This window comes from Homo sapiens, chromosome 4 (assembly GCF_000001405.40).
Source record: "Homo sapiens chromosome 4, GRCh38.p14 Primary Assembly".
In the NCBI taxonomy this organism is placed as follows: Eukaryota; Metazoa; Chordata; class Mammalia; order Primates; family Hominidae; genus Homo; species Homo sapiens.
Window position 1 is genome coordinate 182,847,814 of NC_000004.12, and position 21,340 is coordinate 182,869,153.

Consider the following 21,340-nt stretch of genomic DNA (forward strand, 5'->3'; position numbering starts at 1 on the left):
TCATACACACCACCTGGCAGGGAGGCTGAGTGGGGAAGGCGAAATTCCCCGCCATTGTCGGAGGCTGGCGATATCTTCCAGACTATGGACAAGTTGGCTTAGGTCTGTTCTTAACCGCCCAGCAAGAGGTGAACAACAAAGAAAAGGTTCCTGATCTCACAGCTTAGAGACGAAGGACAGACAGCTGGAGGAATTTGCTCAAAAGAAATTGCTTACGTTTCGCCAAAGCTCTAGGTTTTTGCTTGGAGACCTCACTGGTCCGAGGCTGGCCAAGCCGGGGACTGCGTGGCGTTCAGCACTCCTGCGCCTCCACAGCCTGGGTGTGGGCAAGGACAGGAGGCCGCTGTGGCACTGCCCCTTCCACCCCACGCCCAGGAGCTCAGGGAGGAACCTGCCCTGGCTTTTCCAAGACAGAAGAGGAGATTCCACCATCAATGCACCAGAGGAAAGGGCCATGAACGTGGGGAGCCCGGGAGGCCCCGGCCATGCTTTGCCTGAAGGGTAGGGCCGAGGGCGAGGGGTTCCCTTCGTCACGGTGTGCTGAGAACAGATCGTCCCAGTGTTTTTGTTTGTTTGGTTTGGTTTGGTTTTTTGAGACAGGGTCTCACTCTGTTGCCCAGGCTGGAGTGCAGAGGTGCAATCACAGCTCACTGCAGCCCAGACCTCCTGGACTCAAGTGATCCTCCAGCCTCAGCCTCCTGAGTAGCTGGGACCACAGGCACGGGTCACCATGCCCAGTTAAGTTTTTTGTTTTTTTTTTTTAAGAGATAGGGTCTCACTATGTTGCCCAGGCTGGTCTTGAACTTCTGGGCTCAAGCAATCCTCCTGCCCTGGCCTCCCAAAGTGCTGGGATTACAGGCGTGAGCCACTGCATCTGGCCACCTTCCACTATTTGCTTCCATGCTCATTCAGAATTCCCCATGGTAAAAATCCTGTGAGGAATTATATCATAAAATTTAAAAATATATTATTTAGTGATATTTATAGATTTATTCTATAATACATTATTATATTCTAAGTAAGAAAATACGATGTTATAATAAACATATTCTATATTATGTAATAAATACATTGTATATAATAATCTATATATTATACGATAAATATATAGATAAAAATAAGATAAAAATCAATAAACCACATATAAATAGATCTGGCTGGGCCCCTCTCATCTTTCCTATCTCAGTCATTTTTCTGGGCCCCAGACACCTTCTTCGGGTCTGTAAAAGCCCCTCCAGCATTCGTGCAATCGAGGAAACTCGGAGGAGACTTTTGGTCTTTAGCCCCCTGGGGTTCAGGGAAACTCATGGACAAGCCCAAGTCTTGTGGCTCCTCTGCTCCCGAGTCCTGTCCCCCAGGCTCAAGTCACCCACAAAGCCTTCCCAGAGGCTGCCAAGGCCACGCGTAGCACACAGGGTCTCTGTTACCTTCCCGAGGGTAGGAGCAGATTCCTGCCATCCCCACAGTCCTGCTGGTGTCCTTCTGGCGCCTCTCCCACACCCTCCCTCTCCAGACCTGAGGGGCACTCTCCACCTCCAAGCCTTGACAGGTTAGAATCTCAACACCCAAGGCCAAACATCACTAAAACAGTGACAATGGGGACAGTCACCATGGCCTGCTCTGTGGCTGCAGGTGGTGACTGTGACAAACTGGAACAGACCCATCCCTGCTAAAAGCATTTGAATTTACTTCATAAAAATCACAGCAATATCTAAATCTTTTTGTTTGTTTCTTTGAGACGGAGTCTCGCTCTGTCACCCAGGCTGGAGTGCAATGAATGGCACGATCTCGGCTCACTGCAACCTCTGCCTCCTGGGTTTAAGCGATTCTCCTGCCTCAACCTCCCATGTAGCTGGGATTACAGGCCCCCATCACCACGGCCACCTACTTTTTGTATTTTTAGTAGAGACGGGGTTTCTTCGCCATGTTGGCCAGGCTGGTCTTGAACTCCTGACCTCAGGTAATCCGCCCACTCTGGGCTCCCAGAGTGCTGGGATTACAGGTATGAGCCACTGTGCTCGGCCAGCAATATCTAAATTTGACATGCAGGCCATGAGTTTCTAGCCTCTGGCTCAGATAATTTTATTTTATTTTGTAAAGACAGGATCTCCCTCTGTCACTCAGGCTGTAGTGCAGTGGCATGATCGTAGCTCACTGCAGCCTTGAACTCCTGGGCTCAGGCAGCTCAAGCGATCCTCCCACCTCCGCCTCCTGAGTAGCTGGGACTCGAGGTGTGCACCACCATATCTGGTTAAGTTTTGTATCTTTTTTTTTTTTTTGTAGAGACAGGGTCTCACTATGTTGCCCAGGCTGGTCTCGAACTCCTGGTCTCAAGCAGTCCTCCCACCTCGGCTTCCCAAAGCACTGGGATTATACCACGCCCAGCCCAGACATTGTAAAATAATGTTCTGGGTCATTATCATAAAAAGGCAGCCAGGTGAGGACAGAGACACAGAAGAGCACCATGTGAAGATGGAGGATCGAGGGGTACATCTGCAAGCTAAGGAGAATCAAAGATGGCCAGCAAGCCATGGGAAGCCGGGAAGAGACAAGGACAGATTCCCCTTCAGATTTCAGAGGAAGCAGGGCCCGCCAACACCTTGAATCCAGACTTCTAGACTGCACATCTATGAGACATGTCTGTTGTTTTAAGCCAGTGTGATGATGATGATGATGATGGTGATGATGATGTCCTATAACTCTTCTTAGGGATACTCCAGAATTGAAGGAGGGTAATGGTCTCTCTTTCTTTCCCATTTGTGAGGACGTGGGCAAGTAAATGAGATACAGTTAATTTTTCCATCAGCTCTAAATTTTTGACAAATCACTCTGCCTCAGAGGATGCAACAGGGACTTGGGTCAGTCACCCTGGCTTGCTCTGTGCGCCAACCAAGAATACACCAAACCGGACCCATCTGTTTGCAGCTTCACTGAGCCACATCCCACAGCCCTGCCACCCTTTAAACCAGGGGGAATCCAAAAAGTTCTACTGCCCACTGAGGAGGTGAGGCTTTCCTGCCCTCATTTAACGTGAAATGCCCGCGCTTTGGCCTCTCCGCCTTTGCTGAGAGCAGTCTGTTTCACGGAGAACAGCCTTCTGCAGGAAAAGCCACTGTCATCAGGCTCTCCGCTACAGTGTCATCATGATTAGGGTGCATTTAAAAAGTAATTAAAATGTTGTGTTGAACATTAGGACTCGTGCAGGGCCACTGAGGAGAAGCCGGTAATTGGGTCCTTGGAAAGCTCTAGTCACTTTGCTGGCACACTACAGTGAAAGGGAACGGGGTGGCGGGCGGGGGCAAGGGCAGGGACAGCCACCACTCTCGAGTCTGTCCCTGCACTCCTTGACGGAGAGCTCAGCTGATCAGACGCCCGCATATTTCCAGATAGATAGTGCTGCTGGGGTGAATTCTCTCTTCCTCCACTCCCAGATTCATATGCTGAAGTCCTAACCCCCCCTCCACTCCTCAGAGTGTGACCTTATTTGGAGATTGCTACTGACCCAAGTGGGGTCTGCTCATCTGGCCCAGCAAGGTCAATCAGTGGCTTTGGGATCCTGGTGAAATGAAGTGAGGCACAGATTGCAGTGCACCAAGCAACACTGAAGACCTGCACTCTCCGATGCCTGGCAAGTAAGGGTTTTCAAAGGCAGGGGTACATTTCAGGAAAGCAGAAGTTACAGGCAAAATCAGAGGCTAACACATGATGTACATTGCTTTGGCCTAAAAACGTGGAACATCTCAAAGCAGGGGCCCACAGTTCGATTCAAATATTTTCTGATTTGCAGTTGGTTAAGGAGGCAGAGCTTTGTCTACGTGTGCTGGAGTCAGCAGAAAGATATGTTAGGGTTGACTCAAGGGCACGACCTCCTCCGGGCCCCTCAGGAAGAACTTTAGAACAAAGAATGCCAGTCCGAGTTCAGTCCTCAGCTCCCCCTTTTGTGAGGTCTACAGGCCAGTGGATCTGTTTGGTGGGGGTCTGGGTTTCTGAAAAACAACTCAAGGACTTATGTTAAGATGTTATCTTTAGGTCAAACGCAGTGGCTCACACCTGTAAACCCAACACTTTAGGAGGCCAAGGTGAAAGTGTCAGAGGCGTTTGAACCAGAGCAACTCCATCTTGAATAGGGGCTGGGTAAAATGAGGCTGAGACCTACTGGGCTGCATTCCCAGGAGGTTAGGCATTCTAAGTCACAGGATGAAATAGGAGGTCAGCACAAGATACAGGTCTCGAAGACCTTGCTGATAAAACAGGTTGCAGTAAAGAAGCCGGCTAAAACCCACCAAAACCAAGATGGCAATGAGAGTGACCTCTGGTCGTCCTCACTGCTATACACTCTCACCAGCGCCGTGATGGTTTACAAGTCATGGCAACATCAGGAAGTCACCCTACATGGTCTAAAAGAACGAGACCTGAATAATCCACCTCTTACTTAGCACATCATCGAGAAATAACCTTAAAAATGGGCACCAGCAGCCCTCGGGGCTGCTCTGCCTATGGAGTAGCCATTCTTTAATTCCTTTACTTGCTTAATAAACTGGCTTTCACTTTACTCTATGGATTCATCTCGAATTCTTGTGTGAGGTCCAAGAACCCTCTCTTGGGGTCTGGATCAGGTCTCCTTTCCAGTAACAGGAAGATTGCTTGAGGCGAGGAGTTTGAGACCAGCCTGGGCAATGTAGTGAGACTCTGTCTCTGCAAAAATAAAAATAAATAAATAAATAATTTAAAAAGATGTTATCTTTGGTTTCTGTAGGGAACCAAACATCTCAGGACGCTAACTCCCTTGGCTATTGTTTTAAGCTACTATTACCTTCTTGTTTATCAAGCTGCTCATGTACTTCTCAGGGCGAGCTGGATGCCTGGAATTTCCCTAGAAGGAACTCAAGATTTTCCTTTATTTTCATGTTTGGTTGGGGTGGGGGGGAAGTGCGTGGCAGCCCCCTAAGAGAGGTCCCTGCTCCATTTCCAGATGGGGTCTTCGCAGAGGTAATGGAGTGAAAATGAGGTTATTAAGGCAGACCCTAATCCAATACAATTGGTGTCCTTTCAAAAAGCAGAAAATTGGACACAAACAGGCATAGAGGGAAGACGGTGTGAAGAGACACAGAGAGAAGGTGTCTGTCCACAAGCCAAGGAGAGAGGCCTGGAGCAGACCCTCCCCTCGTAGCCCTCAGAAGAAGTCAACATAGTGGATACCTGGATTTTTGGACGCCAGCTTCAGAACTGAGAGGATAAATTCCTGTCGTCTGAGCACCCCCGTCTGTGGTACTTTGTTACGGCAGCTGGAGCAAACTAGCCTGGCTTTCCAGGACCCGTCTCCAGGGCCTGCTCCCCACCAAAATCCCAGGCAAATACCATATTTCACTCTGTGTTCTTCAAATACTCACACACACACACACACACACACACACACACACACACACACTCTTAAGTGATGGTAACAATAGAATATGATGTAGTTTCAGCCACTCAAGAGGCTGAGTCAGGAAGATTGCTTGATTCCAGGAGTTGGAGGCTGCAGTGAACCATGATCGTGCCACTGCACTCCAGCCTGGACAACAGAGCAAGACCCTGTCTCTATAAATAAATAATAGAATATGACTGAAAAGGGCAGTGGTGAACCAGAGGAAGAAAGGTACTCGCTAAGAAGTGAGGATGCCCACTGCAGCCATACATCGGTTGGACCTTCAGCTGGGTTTTACTCCACAAGGTGGAGAGCATGGCAGAAAGACAGGGAGACCCAGAGCACCCAACCCTCTTGCCCCATCTGGTCCCCAAATCAAAGCCTTTATAAAAGCAACATTGGTGTTATTTAACTCTAAATAATACATGGGCTGGAATCAAAGACATACAAAAGTTTAACATTACCAAGAAGTTGTCCTGTCTGCACGGGAGATGTTATCTGTACTATTTGATTTCTGTCCCAGCATCAAATAAACATTTTTGTCCCACAAATTTATGGGAAGCAGCTTCTCTCCCTAATACGCAGATGCTAATGTACTTTCTGCCCCACCAGTGTTTTCAGAAAGCATTCTTAGTCTTTGACAGGTAGGAAATTTGCATTTCCATTAGTGAGGCCTTTGTCAATTGTGAGTTATAAAAGCCCCAGAAGAATAGGGTTGGGGGAAATGCATTGTATTTTAAAAGGAGACTTTATTGCATGGTTCAACGAAAGGTACCGAAGTAGATAAAGCCTCTGGAGCGGGCTGCTGAGAAGCCTCACAACGAGGAGAAACTTGTTAATGCACGTGCCTGTCACCGGACAACCAGAGGGGAGGAAAGTCTGAATGTGACTTTACTAGTTTGCAATTTACTGTGTTTAACATTAAAATAGTACACTCTTCGGGGGTGATAAGGCGCATTTGGTGCTGCCAGTCAAGTGCTTCTCGCTCCTGTTCCATTAGCTGCGGCTGTAATCTTCTCATTTAAAATCGCTGCTGTTCGGCCGCAGCGGCTCTGGCAGGGCTGGGGGTTTGATTTGTGTATGTGATTTGTTTTACTCTTTATGTTAGTAGAGTCAAGATGCTCAAGAAAAATAAAAGCTCAAGCATCCCCAGCAGCGAAAGGAATGATGCAAACAGCGCTGCTTCATTTGTTATCTTATTTGCCCTTCAAACTTGGTCTCCAAACACACAGTTAAATAATTCAGTGGCCACACTAAATACTGGAGAGGAGCAGGCAGAGAGAAAGCCATCAGAAGTCATGGGCCAGGGAAACAGCATTTCCTAAGAAGTAAGTAAACCAGAGAGAACGAGGAGTAAGAGGAGCCTCAAGGTGACCTCTGTCTGCCCTGCCCAAGACTCTGCCCAGTGCAAAGCCCATACAGTGGTGCTGGTCGAAGCTCCTTATCTCAGAGATGAAGGAAGTGAGTAAACACAGGCTGGTGACAAGCACAAGGACACACAAATCATTCGTGGTGAGCAAGTTCTGAAGTCCCACATAGTAGCAGTACAAGCCGCAGACAAAACCCCTTAGACACCTAGTTAAAGAAGGAAGGGCTTTATTCGGCCAGGAGCTTCGGCAAGACTCACGTCTCCAACAACCGAGCTCCCCAAGTGAGCAATTCCTGTCCCTTTTAAGGGCTCACTACTCTAAGGGGGTCTGTGTGAGAGGGTTGTGATCGATTGAGCAAGCAGGGGGTACGAGACTGGGGGCTGCATGCACCGGTAATTAGAACGGAACAGAACAGGACAGGGATTTTCACAGTGCTTTTCTATACAATGTCTGTAATCTATAGATAACATAACCGATTAGGTCAGGGCTCGATCTTTAACTACCAGGCCCAGGGTGTGGCACGGGGCTGTCTGCTTGTGGATTTCATTTCTGCCTTTTAGTTTTTATTTCTTCTCTCTTTGGAGGCAGAAATTGGGCATAAGACAATATGTGGGGTGGTCTCCTCCCTTAACATGTCTTGGTTCATTGTTCAGGGTTTGTCCTGTATATTAGGCTGCCTTCACTGGACACTTTCCTCCTTCCCTCATTGCACAGACACTTATTGAGTGACCACTGTATGCGAGGCACTGAGCATGCAAAGGAGATGCGGCTGGACCAGATCTGCTGTCGTGGAAGGCTCCCTGTTTTAGTGGGGGAGACAGGCAATACACGAGGAAGCCAATACATACACGTGATAATGTCAGCGCTATGTGTTGTCAAGAGAACAAAGGTCATGGGGAAGCGTGGGGACAGGGGCCAGTCAGGAGCAGGCACTGAGGAGGCTCTCTGGGGCAGCAGGCAGAGGCATGCATGACAACAAAGCGCGTTCCAGACTACCGCAACATCCTGACAGCCTGGCCAAGCTTGGTGTCCCCGCAGCGGGAGGCCTGAATGCAAGGGGAGAGTGGCCACTGCAGAGCAAGAGTCCAGGTCCTGGGGTCATGGAGAGGAGTGGAGTCTGATTCCAGCTGCGATGGAAACCAGTGGGAGATTTTCAGCAAGAAGCGACGTGATTCAATTTCTGTTTTGCAACAGCGCACACAGGCATTGAGAATGGATTCTGGGGTGTAAAAGTGGGGAGCTCAATGTTGCAGCTAGGCTGCTGGGGTCCTGCAGGGCACCCCCTCCCCGGCCCAGACAGCACCTCTCTTTCTTGCCTGAGTTTGGAATCTTTTGAGAATAAACAGTGGAGTGGCAATGGAGGTTAAAATAGCATCCACTTCGATGATAAGGCTCGGGATGAGAACCAAAGACTCCCTAACAACGGCCGCAGAAGCGGACAGTCCTCCATCCCCGAGGAGAGGAAGAGGTGCCCTTGGAGGAGCAGCAGAGAGCAGCAGCTCCTGCAGGCAGTGCTCCCAAGGGAGGAAGGACGGGCACCGCTGAACAGACACATCCAGCTCATAATCCCCACATTTTTCATTTGCTCTTGTCACCCAGGCTGGAGTGTAGTGGTGCGATCTCGGCTCACTGCAACCTCCACCTCCCGGGTTCAAACGATTCTCCTGCCTCAGCCTCCTGAGTAGCTGGGATTACAGGCGTGCACCACTGCACATGGCTAATTGTTGTGTTTTTAGTAGAGACAGGGTTTTACCATGTTAGTCAGGCTGGTCTCGAACTCCTGACCTCGTGATCCGCCCGTCTGGGCCTCCCAAAGTGCTGGGATTACAGGCATGAGCCACCGCACCTGGCCAATCTCCACATTTTTCAAATAGCCAGTCATAAGGTGGAGGGGTAAAGGGGCAGGGAGGGGCCAGGAGTAAAGCTAACTGAGCCTCCTCTGCTCGAAAGGGAACAGGCACAGAGGAGAGGTATTCTGCCCCAGGTGCCGGTGGGTTAGCGCGAGATGTTTGTCATGAAAACGGAGAGTATCTCGAGAGAACATCTGAGAACTTACAGACTCAAAAATAGGCACTGTGTTGGCCAGTCCCAGCTCCTGCCTCTGTGTAGCGGACAGCCTCCCCTCTCCATAAGAGATGGTTATTAATTAAAATGTTAACCATCTTCAGGGACACAGCATTCACTCACCCTTTCAATCAAGAGTTGAGGCTCGCTTTCACCTCTGCTGTCCTCTGTGGAGTTGAAGGGACTCCTGCTCTCCTTGTCATAGGTTCTCATCCACCTGAGAATAAGCCTGTATTATACAGTTCTTACATTTCCCTTTAACAAGTTAAACAACTTCCAACTCCTTTGTAACCTTTGCTCGTTTCTGCTTTTGATTTTCTGCAGTTTTACTGTATTGCTCTTAAAATGCAGGCAGCAAAGCACGGCACGCCGCCGCATCACCGGGCCTGACCTCCGCTGCATGTGCACAGCCCGACGGCTGCTCCCTGGCGATGCCATGTCCTCTCGGTTCAGCGCGGCCACACTCGCTCTCTCTGTCAATTTCAGAGCAGCGCCAGCTCTCACATTCTGCTTTAGGCACCCAATAACCCCCAAGGTTTTGTCTTTTGACAAGAGACTGATTTCAATAACTTTCTCCTGATAAGAAGACCACTGAGTGACTATGAACTAGCTCTGTCCAGTTGACAGAGGCTGTGCGCCGAGTGCTGTCTCCCTCCGGGATCTGCATAAAACGGCGTGCATTCAGTCCTCTAAAGCATTTATCCATGTTATTACTGAAAGACGCCTTATTATTCATCAAGCATTTGTTTAACTTAACTGGGTTACGGTGACTTCTGTTCCTCCTGTCTTCGGAACCTGGCCAACATGGAGGCATTTGCAGGAGCATGAAGAAGGGGCCTCCCCACTTCCTTCAGCCTTAGAGTGAGCACCAAATTGCAAACATTTTCTGCTTCGAGGAAGCAACGCGCCAGCCAGTGCCCAGCACTCCTGCTCTGCTCTGCCTTGGGCCACCGTTTCCCAAACTGGAGGCTCTGGGACATTTTGAGAGCGTTGTCGATAATGAAGATGAGGCAGAAGCTTCTCCGAAGCAGGCTGTACGATGAAGGCCAGCACCAGGGTCACCTGACCTATCACCGGTCGGCCCATTGCTCCCCACCAGGCAATGCTGGCCTCCTCCCTGAACTCTAAACCCTGCAAGCGCCCTCCTGCCTCTGGGATCCTATCCTCACTATGGCCCTGTCTAGAATGCTCTTCCTCTTTCTTTTGTAAACTAAAAATGAAACCCTAAGCTCTCTAACCAACTGAACCTTCTCTTGGTCAAGCAGACCCCTGAGAAACCTTAAAAACTGAGTGCCGGCCCGGGCGCGGTGGCTCACGACTGTAATCCCACCACTTTGGGAAGCTGAGGCGGGTGGATCACAAGGTCAGGAGTTCAAGACCAGCCTGACCAACATGGTGAAACCCTGTCCCTACTAAAAATACAAAAATTAGCCAGGCATGGTGGCGGGCGCCTGTAATCCCAGCTACTCGGGAGGCTGAGGCAGGAGAATGGCGTGAACCCGGGAGGCAGAGCTTGCAGTGACCCAAGATCACGCCACTATACTTCAGCCTGGGCGACACAGCGAGACTCCGTCTCAAAACAAAGCAAAACAAAACAAACTAACTAACTAATAAAACCTGAGTTCCTGGCCATGACAAGAAGGGAAGTTAAACACACCTCGCTAGACTCCCTCTTTTTCACACTTTAGATACAACTGACCAGCATATGATAGAGATCATAAGACTGACACAATGGACTCTCCATGGCAATAAGATACCAAGTTAGAAACAAGACCTGGCCGTGCCAGGTAAGGGTTAAGTCATGCAACTCTACACTTAAAGAATAAACCATACTCTGGGCCGGGTGCAGTGGCTCATGCCTGTAATCTCAGCACTTTGGGAGGCCGAGGTGGGAGGATCACCTGAGGCCAGGAGTTCAAGACCAGACTGACCAACGTGGTGAAACCCCATCTCTACTAAAAATACAAAAATTAGCTGGGTGTGGTGGTGCACACCTGTAATCCCAGCTACTCAGGAGGCTGAGGCAGGAGAATCGCTTGAACTTGGAAGTGGAGGTTGCAGTGAGCCGAGATCGCGCCATTGTGTTCCAGCCTGGGCATCACCATGAGACTCTGTCTCAAAAAAAAAAAAAAGAACAAAAATAAACCATGATCTAACTGCCACAAGCTTTTTCTTCTTCTCTAGCAGCTAAACAAGCACTGGCCTTGAGATAAGCAATGTTGAAGCAACTGCAGCTTACCAGCCACCAGATGCTAACTGAGCCCCTGTTCCACCAGCCACGACTACAGCTTTGATTGGACAAGAGACTGATTTCAATAACTTTCTCCTGATAAGAAGACCACCAAGTGACTATGAACTGTTCTGTCCAGTTGACAGAGGCTGTGCACTGAGTGCCTTCATGTCCTAAAAAGATCTTTGGATTCATAGGGCCTAACTGTAATACACTGAAATGTTACGTCCCCACCCCAAGGTGAACATGGGTTGTATGTTACATGCATGTTTGTTTAATACACATGTGTTGGGACCACCTTCATGAATATTAATAGCTCCTCCTGTAATCTGTTGACTAGGTCTGTTTAGCCAACCCATTCAGCATAAATCTCCTACCCCAGCTCCTCCAACCTCCAAGTGCCTGTCTCTGGCCTTGGCCAGAGGCTGTACTTTCCAGCCTGCAGAATGGCCTTCTTGCAGGCTATAACCATTTATAAGAAATAAGGTTTCCTTTTCTGGCCAGGCGCAGTGGCTCACACCTGTAATCCCAGCACCTGGGGAATCCGAGGTGGGCGAATCACTTGAGGCCAGGAAGTTGAGACCAGCCTGACCAAAATGTTGAAACCCTATCTCTCCTAAAAATACAAGTTAGTGGGGTGTGGTAATGTACACCTGTAATCCCAGCTACTCAGGAGGCTGAGGCAGAAGAATTGCTTGAGCCTGGGGTGGAGGTTGCAGTGAGCCGAGATTGCATCACTGCACTCCAGCCTAGGTGACAGAGAGAAACCCTGTCTCAAATAAATAAATAAATAAATAAACAAAGTTATAAGGTTTCCTTTTCTCAATTTATAAATCTTGTTATTTTTTTTCAGTTACTTTCAACCCATTGACATTTTTCTTCCAATCACATTCTTTCTTCCCTCACATTCCTACCTGCTAAGCATTCCCTGAACACTAGAACTGTGGAAGTGGTGTGTGCCTATTCCAGGCCTTCCCTCCCTCCCCCTGTATTTCCCATGCACCATCCTTTGGACCACTCCTGCCCAATAGAACTTTCCATGATGTCAGCAATATTCTGTATCTGCGCTGTCCAATATGGTAACCACAAGCCACACTTGAAATGTGGCTAATGAGACTGATGAACAGAATTTTTAATTTTACTTAATTCCAATGTAAGTTTAAAGAGCCACATGCAGCCAGTGCCTACTGTGTTGGACAGCACGGCTGTAGCCCTTCCCTCATCTGCCAGCTGGAAGTTGAAACTGAGGGTAACCTGGGAGCCACCTATTGCAGACGGTGGAGGCTCTGTTAGGTTGAGGCCCTGAATGACTGCATGGAGCAGAGCATACATCCTATTGCCACACCCTGCTCCTGATCAGAAACTTTATGTGAGAGAGAAATTAACACCCACCATGTTAAGCCACTGAGGTTTTGGAGTTTATCTGTTAGAGCAACTACTATCACCTTAACAAATCAGGTCAGTCTGCTGTTACTGTAACAAATCAGCCAATAGGCTGGCTCCGAGGACAGGAAGATAAGTAAGAAGTAGCCCCTGGCTTCAAAAAGCCCCCTCTCAGGACGATACCTGGTCCACAAGACACATGCAATGTCATCTGCAGAATGAATGAATGCGTTATTCCAGTGTTACACTTCTCATTTTTCAGCTAAATTAGAAGCTCATTGAGGGACTGGACCCCATTCCCCCAAATTACGCACATTATATATTGTATTATGTGTATTCTATACAGTGCTAGCAAACTGCAGGGGTTCACTAATGAAGGAATGAATGAATGAATCCGTGGAGGCCAGCAGCCCCATAAAAAACCCTGCTGTAGCTGGGTGTGGTGGCTCATGCCTGTAATCCCAGCACTTTGGGGAGCCGAGGCGGGTGGATCACAAGGTCAGGAGATCGAGACCATCCTGGCTAACACGGTGAAACCCCCGTCTCTACTAAAAATACAAAAAAAATAGCCGGGCGTGGTGGCGGGCCCCTGTAGTCGCAGCTACTCGGGAGGCTGAGGCAGGAGAATGGTGTGAACCTGGGAGGCGGAACTTGCAGTGAACCCATATTGCGCACTGCACTCCAGCCTGGGCGACAGAGCAAGACTCCATTTCAAAAAAACAAAACAAAACAAAACACCCCGCTGTCGGATGCTGCGGGCTCTTTCTCCTTCCTGCCCACCAAGGCTCCCCACAATTGCTCTTGTCCTTCGTTTCCCGTCTCCCTCCTTTTCCCTCATCACCTCTCACATACAATCGCTCAACGGATGATCCCCTTACTCTCGTTCTCAAAGCTGTGGAAATTCTCTGTTATAGGCCCGTGTCCCCCTCAAAATGCATATGTTGAAATCCTAACCCCTAGTCCCTCAAAATGTGCCCCTATTTGGACACAGGGTTGTTGCAGGTGTAATTAGTTAAGCTGAGATAAGATCATACTGGCAGGGGTTGTGGGGGTTGGGGGGGTTGGGCCCTAATCCCACATGACCAGTGTTCTCTTTAAAAAAACAAATTTGCACACAGACAGACACGTAGGAGGAGCACTATACACAGAAAAAGACAGTGATTGGGGTGAGGCTTCTCCAAGACAAGGAACACCGAAGATCGCCAGGGAATCTCCAGAAGCCTGGGGAGAGGCACGGCTCAGGCTCTCTCACAGCCCCAGGAGGAGCCAACCCTGCCGATACCTTGACCCTCCAGGCTCCGGAACTCGGGGCCATACATTTCTGTTGTGGAAGCCACCCAGTTTGCGGTACTTTGTTAGGGAGCCCTAGGTAACAAACACATGTTCCCACTAACTTTTTTGATAGAAAGGGATCCACTGGTACCGAGAAAGAAGCTTCTGCGCTCTCTGGGGGCCTCCCAGGCCCAGGGATCTCTTGTATTGGTGAGTTTGCTGGAAAAGCATCAGAGACTCCCCTGGAGGCATGGCCAGGTGTTTCCCAGGATGCTGTGATTTCAAACTTTCTGTCCCACTTTTCCTGATGAATACACATAACTCTCACTTTTCAAGCTTCACTATTCCACTCTACAGATCACAGGACTCAGGCGCTAGATTCACCATCATCACAAAAATATTAGAAAATTTTTCTAATTTTCCACAAGGCAGATTCAAAAGCCACAGCCCTTATTTTCTGGGACATCAAGTCCAAGATCAGTATGTTGATGCCACCATGTCATTTATTTTAATTTGCTTGGTGGTTCACTGAATACTTATTGAGCACCTACTTTGCATGAGGTGCTATGGGATGTTTTTGTCAAGGCTTTGAAAATTAGCCGGGAGAATGGATAGAAGGGAGCTTGGCATCATATTTTATTCCAGAACCTGCCCGTCTCCTGGAGAGCCGCTGTGTAAAGAGCCATTTGCAAGCTCATCACAGTGATTAGCCAGAAGCAAGCAAGCAAGCAAGCAAGAGGGAGCCTGCCATTCCTCTCCCGGCCCCACCTGGAGCTCACACCTTCTGCAGCCTGTCTGCAGCCACACTCAGGCCCTGCAGGGGGCCCGCCTGGGCCAGGATGATCCCCAGAAGACAGGTCTGCTTCCCCACAACTTGGAAGCTAAGTGGAGAAAAATGCACCTTTCTGGCTAACAGAACACCTCCTCACAAGGCCCCCATGCCAACGACAGAGTCCTGGCAGAGCGTGGCTCTGTCACACTCGAGTTAGCACAGCCACCAGGAGTTGGGTAGTTCTCAGCTCACGCCGTCCTCCGAAAGGCTCTAGCAAACCAGAAATCAAAGTGGAGCCCCGCTGCATGCCAGCTGACAGCCTGCAGCAGATAAAATGGCAAAAACCACTGCTGCTGCCGGGGCTCTGGAGACCCTCCACTCACACACACAGCCCTCCAGGTCACTGGGAAGCATTTCCTGCCACCCCCAGCCTTCCCTGGGTGCCTGTGTCCTTGACCGGTGGCTCCAGTGGGCGGCCTCCCAGGCTGTCACTGGCCGCTGGCCCACTCTCTGCCCACCTCCTCTGCCAGGCCTGAGCACGCCAGTCTTTTTGGCCAGAGCGAATCCTACCTGTAGGATTTTCACTTATCTCTGTAAAGTGGAAAAAAAGTCAAGCAAGTCATATTGGAAACTGAAGCCAAAGCACTTAACCTCCTCTTGGGAAGGAGTTCTCCTCCTGGGACTGGCTTTGCTGTGCCAAGTTCAGGAAAGAAAAGCAAATGTGAGAACAAAGGTGCCTGGCTGTGCCGCCCGGCTGATGGGCAGGTGGCTGGCCCCGCTCCATGGTGGCGGCACCTGGCCAAGACCATTTCCTTTCTCCACAGAAGTGGCTGCACTCACACCTGGTAACGTCAGCAGCACCTGAGAGGAGCGCAGAGGTGCAGCCACTGATGCCCACCGAGAGGCAGCGTCCTAGGCTGCCTGACCCCAGCGTGGGAGCGTGTCTGAGCTGACTGCATTGCTGAACCCTAACTTCCCCGTCTCTGAACTGGAGATGATCCCACCACGTACTCATGCGTCTTCGGACGCTTAATTAATCAACAGTGATTGAATGCCTTGAAGTCGAAGCATGCTGGAATAAACAGCACCTCTGGTGAAGAGGAGTCACTGCCCTGGCCTTCGGCTCAGATGTCTGGATCATAATTCAAGGCTAGTCACTAATTTTAGTGTGTGGCCTTCATATTTCTGTTTCTTTGCAATGCAGGCAATTGACTAAATCACCTTATGGTTTCCTGCTCTTTGTCTGGATTGACGGATTTGGGCAAGTTTCCCCTCCAGCCTCCAGGCTGCAGAGCCCTTCCCTGCTCTCCTCTGGCAGTCACCACCCACCTCCTTCTTTGCTCATTCATGCCTCCTCCAGGCCTCAGAGAGGACACCCTCTCCGTGAAGTCCTCCCTCTGCCTCGACCACACCCCAGCGCCAGCCTGAGCTGAGTTCCTCCTGGCAGCCGTGCCCCCACTTCCCCTCCAGAGCACTGCCCCTTCTCCTGGGCTCCACAGAGAGGGCAGGGACTGTGGCTGTGTTTCCCTCACCAGCCGGTACATGGTGTGACACACAGCAGGTCCTGGTGATGGAAGAAGTACACAATGCTTGGGTCACGACTGACCTAATGAAGAGGTTCACCCAAAGGGAATGAGCCCCTTCCCTAATTTCATGGGTCTTCAATGAAACCCAAGCCCACAAAGGCTTTTTAGTGGACACAGGCTGCTTTAAAGGAATCAATAAATCAATTTCCAGGTTCTCAACTTCCTAAAATTGATCTGCCAAGAATGTGCCAGCATTCTGCAGGGTCGTTTCCCCTCCCCACCCCCTTCCACAACAGTCTTCTCTATGAACAGAAGAAAGTCCTTCCTCTCACCCATCCTGAATTGCCTTGGGGTGCAAACACCTCTAGGACACTAAAAAAGAGACAATTCCTGAATACACTATTCTTGAGGACTCTTTAAGGTCAAGGCAGGGAGAGCTTCAGAAAGACCCTTGAGGCCCGGCACGGTGGCTTACGCCTGTAATCCCAACATTTTGGGAGGCTGAGGCAGGTGGATCACTTGAGATCAGGAGTTCAAGACTAGCCTGGCCAACAGGTGAGACACCGTCTCTACTAAAACTACAAAATTTAGCCAGGTGTAGTGGTGGGTGCCTGTAGTCCCAGCTACTTGGGAGGCTGAGGCGGGAAAATCGCTTGAACCCAGGAGGCAGAGGCTGCAGTGAGCCGAGATCACGCCACTGCACTCCAGCCTGGGCAACAGAGCGAGACCCTGACTCAAAAAAATAAAATAAAATAAAGGAGAGAAACAAAATACCATATGCAAGAAAGGAAATCTTTTAACATGATTTAAACTTATAACAAAAAATTGGACCTGTTTACCTAAAAATGTATGAAGTGATACATAGTTTTTCAAAAATTATTGTAGGGTCTATACAGGAAAATAGATTGGGGCCACTGCATGAATTCATAGGCAAGGGGTGCCAGACTGGGGAGGAGCACAGCCTCCTGCCATCTCCCGAGGAGGAGTAGTGCAGAGCTGAAAAGCCCGGGAGGATAGATGAGGGAGAGACCTCAGATTCGAAGGGCCCCTCCTTACAGATTGTGGGACACGCACATTTGCTTCCCCACCAGACCTCCGTTTTCTGCCTGTTCAATATTTTAAAGGTGTTTCTTTGGATTTGTCGTTGAGTCTACAGAACAGAGAGAAGTGAAAACCTTTTTAAAAAGGAAAGGAGAGAACCTTTTAAAAAGGAAAGGAGAGGTCTAGAAAGACTGAGAAAAGCATTTGGGGACTGCAGTGAGAATGAACAACAGAAATCAAAGTAAGAGGGAAATTAAAAGAACGAAGAAATGTAAAACGACAAGAACAACAGCAAGTTAGTGATTTCTCTAAAATGCATCTTGTGAGAAGAAAGCTAGGCTTTCTTTTTACAGGAACTCAGGAAGCTGTGAATTCAGGGGGATCCTAGACTTGAGTAGAAAAACAATTACCTCTTATTTTCACTAACCTCTAGCTGAAACTTAGCATTTCCTTTAATTATAAATGTGGCCACTGAACCACAGTAGTATTAGCAGTTCCTGTGGTTTGTTCCCAGTAGAAATCACAGATATTTTCATATCCCATTACCAGTCGCTGCAAATATCTTGAAATATTATTTACCCTTATCACTACTTCAAAGTTATGGTGGTTATTAAACCTGCATGAGATCTTGTTATGTAACACATTAATAAAAAGCACATATATACTCTATCACAAATGGGTTTTTTAAAATATTGATAATTGTATATCAATATAATTGGTTTTCATTGTAATCCTCTGTGTTTTTTTAAGAGACAGCATTTCCCTCGGTCGCCCAGGCTGGATTGCAGTGATGTCATCATAGCTCACTGTAACCTGAAACTCCTGGGCTCCCTCCTCAGCCTCCCAAGTAGCTCGGACTACGGGAATACATTACCATGTCCAGCTCATTTTCTTTTTTTTTTCGAGACGGAGTATCGCTCTGTCCCCCAGGCTGGAGTGCAGTGACACGATCTCGGCTCACTACAAGCTCCGCCTCCCGAGTTCACGCCATTCTCCTGCCTCAGCCTCCGAGTAGGCTAGGACCACAGGTGCCCGCCACCACGCCTGGCTAATTTTTTTTTGTATTTTTAGTAGAGATGGGGGTTTCACCGTGTTAGCCAGGATAGTCTCGATCTCCTGACCTCCTGATCTGCCCATCTTGGCCTCCCAAAGTGCTGGGATTACAGGCGTGAGCAACTGTGCCTGGCCAAATTTTCTTAATTTTTTTTTGTGGAGACAAGAGTCTTGCTGTGTTGCAGGCTGGTCTTGAACTTCTGGACTCAACTGATTGTCCCACCTCGGCCTCCCAAGCGCTGGTATTACAGGTGTGAGCCACTGTGCCTGGCTGATATTTAATACAATACTATGCACTTAAAAACATTGTTGTAAAACAGTGTCCATAGACTGCAAAAGGGGTCCATGGTGAAAAAAATTTTTTAAGAATCCCTGCTTTAAACCCATACTCCAGAAACTTTCTATCTGTTCATGGTGATAGCAGGCTGCGGCGTCTACAGGGAGTGAAAACTCACCGCCCACACTAGAGAAGTGGCATGAGTTAGGCTGAGGGCAGCAAACGCTCTCCCAGAGACCTGCTGGCTACACTCTGGGTCTCAGTGAAGAGGGCAGCATTTCCCGTGTTTAGCAAATGCACCAGCCTCAAACACAGGCATGCCGCTCGCTCTCCAGCTTCTTCTAACCCACGATTCAAGCCCCTGGAGAAAAGCAGTCCCAGAGCCCCAGGTTTCTCCCCAAATCTCAAGTACCACAAGGTGTTGCACCTCAGCAAGGACCTTGGGTGGCACATGTGAGTTTGAATCCCGCTGCGTAGCCTCCCTTCAGCTTTTGCGCAATTTGGCATCTGGAGTAACCAGAGAGAACTGACCCCAACTCTATCCTCAACTTGCACCAGCAAATGGGCCCTAAACAAAAGTCTCTGGAAGTCGACAGCCTGGACCTATCACCATGATTCAGTGAGACCAGCAGCATGAATTATCTACTAAAACACAGTAATGCTAATTTTATCCCTGTCATTTCCCTGCTTGAGGAAACAAGGAAAACTCAGTTCTTTGGGAGGGGTCAAGGGAACAAGAAGAAGCCATTTTTCTCAGGAAGCCCTGGGGAGCAGTGCAGAGACAATGAACTTGGAAGTCAGACCCCGGCGCTCGCTCAGTATGGGGGCCCAGGGAGAGTTCATAAACTTTCCCAGCCCCAGTCCCCTCATCTATAAAATCATGTCTGACCTGCCAGAGTGCTTGAAGATAAAAAAGCCCACCCGCATGGTGCTCTTCCCTTCCTTCATAATAAAACAGAGGGATTCCTCACCAAGGAAGGCGGTGAGAAGTATCTTTTTCAAGAGAAAAAAACGGCAAAACTAATAAAATTGTGTGCTTGTCAGGAGCAAAGCTAGCCTTTCTTCCTCTCTCTCTGACTTTGGTTGAACTTGAAATGCTGTAGCAATGCTGCCTGCCTCTCTCTTCTGCCAGAAATCTTCCAGGTTTTTTGGTCTAGAATCAGCCAGACCTTGCTGAGCATCTGAATATTTGCTAACACCACAAAGCAGAAAATCTGCTCAATAAGCCTGTCTTAAGCAGGGGCTCTGGCCTGGGGTTCAGAAACCAGGGTCCCTGAGCTTTGGGGAGGGAGAAAGAGGCTCAGAGCTCCCAGGCACTGATACAGTCAGGGGATTCAGAGGTCCCAGATCTGTCAACTGGGGCAAGCAAAGTTCCCCCAAATTTAAGGCACCAACATTTTGCCAGCTTTTTATCTACATTAGCAAGCAACAATAAGTTTTTAATCAGTCATTATAAGTTATTTTATTTCCTTTTTTTTTTTTAAGCTACAGAGTCTTGCTCTGTTGCCCAGGCTGGAGTGCAGTGGCATAACTGGAAGCTCAAGTGATCCTCCTGCCTCAGCTTCCAAGTAGCTGGGACTACAGGTGCTTCCCAAGTAGCTGGGACTACAGGTGCTTCCCAAGCAGCTGGGACTGCAGGTGCTTCCCAAATAGCTGGGACTACAGGTGCTTCCCAAGCAGCTGGGACTGCAGGTGCTTCCCAAGTAGCTGGGACTACAGGTGTGCACCACACGCCAGGCTAATTTTTAAATGTTTTTGTAGAGATGGGGTCTCACTATGTTTCCCAGGCTGGTCTTGAACCCCTGGGCTCAAGTGATCCTCTCTCCTCAGCCTCCCAAAGTGCTGGGATTACAGGCATGAGCCACCACGCCTGGCCTTAATTCAGTTTTCTTATTGTCCTATCAAATTATGAATTTGTGGTAAAATACGTAAAAGGCCCTTTGGTGTTTTTTTGATTTTTATTTTTCCATTCAAATAAAAATAATTTTCACAAATCCGAATCACACCACCCCTCAGAGAGCACGCTATGCTTTTCAGAGTGGTTTTTGATTACCATTTTCAATGGTAATTGGTAACAATGGTAACAGCTGGTAACAGCTCCAATTTTTTGTTATAAGTTTAAATCATGTTAAAAGATTTCCTTTCTTGCATATGGTATTTTGTCTCCCTCCTTTATTTTATTATTTTATTTTTTTGAGTCGGGGTCTCGCTCTGTTGCCCAGGCTGGAATGCAGTGGCATGATCTCGGCTCACTGCAGCCTCTGCCTCCTGGGTTCCAGCGATTCTCCCTCCTCATGGGCACTGGGTTCACTCAGCTCCACTGCCCCAACCTATGTCTCTGAGCCAGCATGGATCTCCTTTCTGTTCTCTTGGTGCCGATGAGCTCATTTTTTGACATTTCAGCTTCTTGTGACTTGCCTTTGGTTTGGTTGTTTTACTTTTAATACTTTTGCCAGCAAAGACCTACAGCCTCTCTGAACCTTTTTGGGACTGGCCCTGGTCAGCTGTCCTTTGATCTCCATATTCATACTTTATTTGGAAATAAAGCTTTGTTATCATATGGAATCCAGAGTCTTCACCCTGTCTGTGAAGCAAGTACGGGTTTATTTATTTAGGGCTGGGAGACATCTCTGATTTCATTTGGAAGCTGTCACTTTGCTTTTCCTTTGCCCTATGAGAGACTGGGTTGCTAGAAGGAGTGAAGATGGTCTATTGTGTTCCTTTTCATCATTATCTCATTTTGTTGTTATTTTCTATGTTTCTCTCTTTAAGAAATCATAACAGTTTTATTAAGATATAGCTCACATACCATACAATTCACCTATTTGAAGCATATAATTCAATGCTTTTAATATATTCACAGAATGGTGCAACCATCACCACCATGAATTTTGGAACAGTTTTGTCACCCCAAAAAGAAATTTCATATGCATTAGCATTTACTG

At 48.4% G+C, this 21,340-nt stretch overlaps 2 annotated features.

The window, feature by feature from the left end:
* Positions 14,135–14,710: an enhancer, noted in NCBI's record as "NANOG-H3K4me1 hESC enhancer chr4:183783101-183783676 (GRCh37/hg19 assembly coordinates)". NCBI's record gives its function as "activates a minimal SCP1, AML or CMV promoter by ChIP-STARR-seq in naive H9 embryonic stem cells {active_cell/tissue: H9 hESC(naive)}" and the evidence as "EXISTENCE:reporter gene assay evidence [ECO:0000049][PMID:30033119]".
* Positions 14,711–15,284: an enhancer, noted in NCBI's record as "H3K4me1 hESC enhancer chr4:183783677-183784250 (GRCh37/hg19 assembly coordinates)". NCBI's record gives its function as "activates a minimal SCP1, AML or CMV promoter by ChIP-STARR-seq in naive H9 embryonic stem cells {active_cell/tissue: H9 hESC(naive)}" and the evidence as "EXISTENCE:reporter gene assay evidence [ECO:0000049][PMID:30033119]".